We start from the raw sequence: 4,336 nt of genomic DNA on the forward strand, positions 1-4,336 counted from the left end.
TTCACATGAGTTTTCTATTTAGGTAGTGTGCATAACTGAAGGAGTGATTTTGAATTTTAGTTCTGCCTCATACTACTGTGGGGGCATTGGATTAATTTTTGTGGCAGGAAGGTGTATTGAGATAAATAATTCTTCATATTCTCCATATCCTGTGCTCACTACCTTTTTTCTAGGCGAGACTCTTGGTATTTTCTTCCCCCAAGGTTTTTTTGCACAAGGAAAGCAGAAGTTATCATGGAGAAGCTTTTATTATGTAATGGTTCAAACTCTTCTAGATTCTGCTAGGTGTTCCCAGAAGAGGAGAAAGACACGTTGAGAGCAACAAGAAGGATGAGACAAATACCTCCCTATCACTAAAAAGGGGGTGTGTGAGGATGACAGGATTCCTGTGATCTTGAATACCCTTGGTATAGTGGCCAGAAGAGAAAGCTCAGACAGGAGGGCTATGTGTTGAGGTATAGCTTGAGATACTGTGTTCTCCTAACCTCTCAAATATTTTTGGCATTGTAGGTCAGACAGAAGCCATGGAGCAGCCCCATCTAGAGTAAGCTTTTCTGGGCATCCCGCAGATACTCATGCAGACGGAAGAGAGATGACAGGACAGGCACTCTCCATGCTTTGGCACATTGGGCAAGATCCTAGAATCCTGAGTCATGTCTTGTGAGGGAAGCCCTCAAATGGCTGAGATGTCATTTCCTGCCATTCCAATGTAATCATGCTAGTAGTTGATTTTAATTAAACTTAAGAAAATAAAATATCTGTACATTTCTTACACATTTGAATTTGTATGTATTTCTGCTATGCTTGTTTGAGCCTCTATTTTTTCATCTTATCCTGTAGATAAAAACACTTGCCTCATAGGTCATTGTGAGGCTTAAGTGAGGTAGCATGTAAGTTCCTGGGATGGTGCTTAGGCATATTTAGTAGAAGCTCAGTTGTTTATTCTTTTTTTTTTTTTTTTTTTGAGAGACAGAGTCTCGCTCTGTTGCCCACGCAACAGTGCAGTGGCACGATCTCAGCTCACTGCAACCTCTGCCTCCTGGGTTTAAGCGTTTCTGGTGCTCCATCCTCCAGAGTAGCTGGGATTACAGGTGCCCGCCACCTCGCCTGACTAATTTTTGTATTTTTAGTAGAGACAGGGTCTCACCATGTTGGCCAGGCTGGTCTTGAACTCCTGACCTCAAGTGATCCACCTGCCTTGGCCTCCCAAAGTGTTGGGATTACAGGCGTGAGCCACTGTGCCCAGGCTTTTCTATCATTCTCTCTGCAAGATGGGACTGGCAGGACAAACGGCAGAAGCTGGTATCGGGGCTTATAGCTGGCCTTGGGCTAGGGAAGGATGAGGGGCAACATTTTCATAGTAATAATAATGATAACTACCACTTCTTAAGAACCTATCAGTGGTTTTTAAACTGCCCTGCAGAGTTCTAGGATTCCATGGAGGGTCTCAGGAGCTGCAGTGAACAGAGGGGAGACCAGCGGTTCATGTTCAGGGCTGCCTCCTCTGCTTCAAGCAGATCAGTTTTGCTCTTACCTAATATATTGATCCTCTACATAACATTTTGTTTGAAAAGTAGTATATCTGTTAAAAATGTTTGAACACTTCTACAGAAGTATTGGATCAAGTTGATAATATAAACAAATACATATTTGCCCAGGTTTCTTCCTTTCCAAGCTTGGGCAAAGCAGATATGGGGACCAAGAGGCAGTCCCGAATCAATATTCAGTGTGATTTTTGTAATGTTACAATAGTAGGAACAATTAGGCTGTTCCTCCCTTCATCCTTCCACTTGTGCTATGCAGCAAGCAGCAAAAGCAATACCCGGTGAATGAGAACACTTGTGTATTACAAGCCGGGAGTACTCAGTGGGCATATACCACCAAAAGAAAGTGGGGGTTCCCATGCCCAGAAGATGAGCTGATGACCCCCTTAGCTTGGTGGTATGTCCTACCTCGCCTCTGTAACCACAGGAAGCAGAACACAATACACAGATAAGCACTCACAGACAGACAGACAGGCAGATCAGCAGGTACTAAAAATGTAAACCTAAGGACGCAACCAAGAATCACCACAAATTTGATGAAAATTGCAGAGGAGTTCCAGAAGGAGAGAATGGTGGGAATGGACAAGAGAGGGAATATACGAAGAATAACAGAATAAAATACTTTTTTTTTTTTGATACAGAGTCTTACTTGTCACCCAGGCTGGAGTGCAGTGGCACAATCTCGGCTCACTGCAACCTCCACCTCCTGGGTTCAAGCCATTCTTCTGCCCCACTCCCCAGTAGCTGGGAATATAGGCACGCACCACCATGCCCAGCTAATTTTTATATTTTTAGTAGAGACAGGGTTTCACCATGTTGGCCAGGCTGGTCACCAACTCCTGACCGCATGATCCGCCCGCCTCGGCCTCCCAAACTGCTGGGATTACAGGTGTGAGCCACTGTGCCCAGCCTTAAAATACCTTATTATCAATCAAAGAAATAAAACTGCCAGTGAAAGGGCCCATGAGCTATTTAAAATAAATACAAACACAAACTGAAAGACTCCAGATCATACCTTGACAGTTAATGGTAAAGTTTCAGAAAACTAAAGAGAAATATCTTAATACTTCTGAAAAGAAAACAAAGTAAAACAAAAATGGATTACTTAACAAAGGAATGGAGGCTTTTAAGATAATCCAACAATATTCTCAAAGTATAAAGATAATTTTTAGATATGCCATCATTTAAAGAAAACAATTAAATAGGCTCATAGGATCCTAACAACCTTAGGAGTGTAACATAGAGAAAACAGAAGTGTTATTTAAACCCAAACTGACCATAGTAACATCTGAATTCCAAAGATGGTGGTTGTGACAAAATTCACATCAATGAGGAAACCAATCTTTATTCTGATCTTCTCTTCTCAGGGCCTGGGAAATGGAGAAAGGAAAGCCTAAAATTATGAAGCCTCTGCTGGTTCCTCTGGGCTGCTAAAGGAAAGACTTGGACTACACCATCCCGTGTTTCAACATATTAATGAGTTTTTGATGTACAAAGGTTGGCCTTTGTTAGTTAGTGGTGGAGACAAGTCATTCTGCATAATAAATTGAGAAGGATGACCCTAGGGAAGGCTGGAGGATGAGAGGTGTGGAGTGAGATGGGCTTGCATATCACGGCTGGAGCCTGAACCTGTAGAAAACAGTGGCTTGGAAGGAGGCATTCCCTTCAGATGGGGTGGCTGAAGGGCTCTTTATTTTCAAAACATCATTTAATTTTTTACTGTGAACAATCTTTAAGTTTATGAAAAAGATGCAAAAATAGTTTAGTGGGTTTCCATACACCCTGCACACAGCTCCCCTAAATGTTAGCATGTTACATAACCACAGTACTATTATTAGAACCAGGAAATACACATTGGTATAATATTACTTATTATACTATAAGCCCTTATTTGAATTTTGTCGGTTTTTCCACCAGTGTCCCTTTTCTGTTCCAGAATCCTACATTGCATTTAGTTATTTCTTCTCAGTCTTCTGTAGACTGTAACAGCTTCTTAGTCCTTCCTGCTCTTTCACGACCTTGATACATCTGAAGAGTACTGATCAGTTATTTTGTTGAACATCCCTCAAATTGTATTTTCTTTCCTTTTCTTTATTTTTTAGAGACAGGGTCTTGCTCTGTCACCCAGGATGGGTGCAGTGATGTGATTATAGTTCACTGTAACCTCGAACTCCTGGGCTCAAGTGATCCTCCCACTTCAGCCTCCTGAGTAGCTGGGACTACAGGAATGCATTATCACTCCCTGCTAGTTATTTTTATTTTTAGTAGAGATGAAGTCTTGCCACATTACCCAGGCTGGTCTCAAATTCCTGGCCTCAAGCGATCCTCCTGCCTCAGCCTCCCAAAGTACTGGATTACAGGCATGCACAACTGTGCCCGACAAGTTTTCTTCTGATTGGACTGAGGTTATGCATTTTTGACAAGAATGCCACAGAAATGATACTGCGTTCTCATGTAATGGGATGTGTGCATCATATAATGCGATTCATGATTCTAGTATTACTAGTGATGTTGACCTACCACTTGATTAAGGAGGTTTTTGCTGAGTTTCTCCATTGTAATGTTCTTATTTTTCTCTGGATAGTTAATAAATGTCTGGAGAAAATGCTTTGAGACTATGCAGTCTGTTTCAACTCAAACTTTCACTCACAGATTTTAGCATCCATCTATATATCCTTTCTGCTATAATTATCATTGTGGTGTCTGCCTAGTGGTCATTTTCTATTTCTCTCTATCCTTCTACCTTTATTAGTTAGATTTTTTTCTGCAGTGGCCAGGTCTGGGCAAACCTG

The sequence above is a fragment of the Homo sapiens genome, chromosome 10, assembly GCF_000001405.40.
Source record: "Homo sapiens chromosome 10, GRCh38.p14 Primary Assembly".
NCBI lineage: Eukaryota > Metazoa > Chordata > Mammalia > Primates > Hominidae > Homo > Homo sapiens.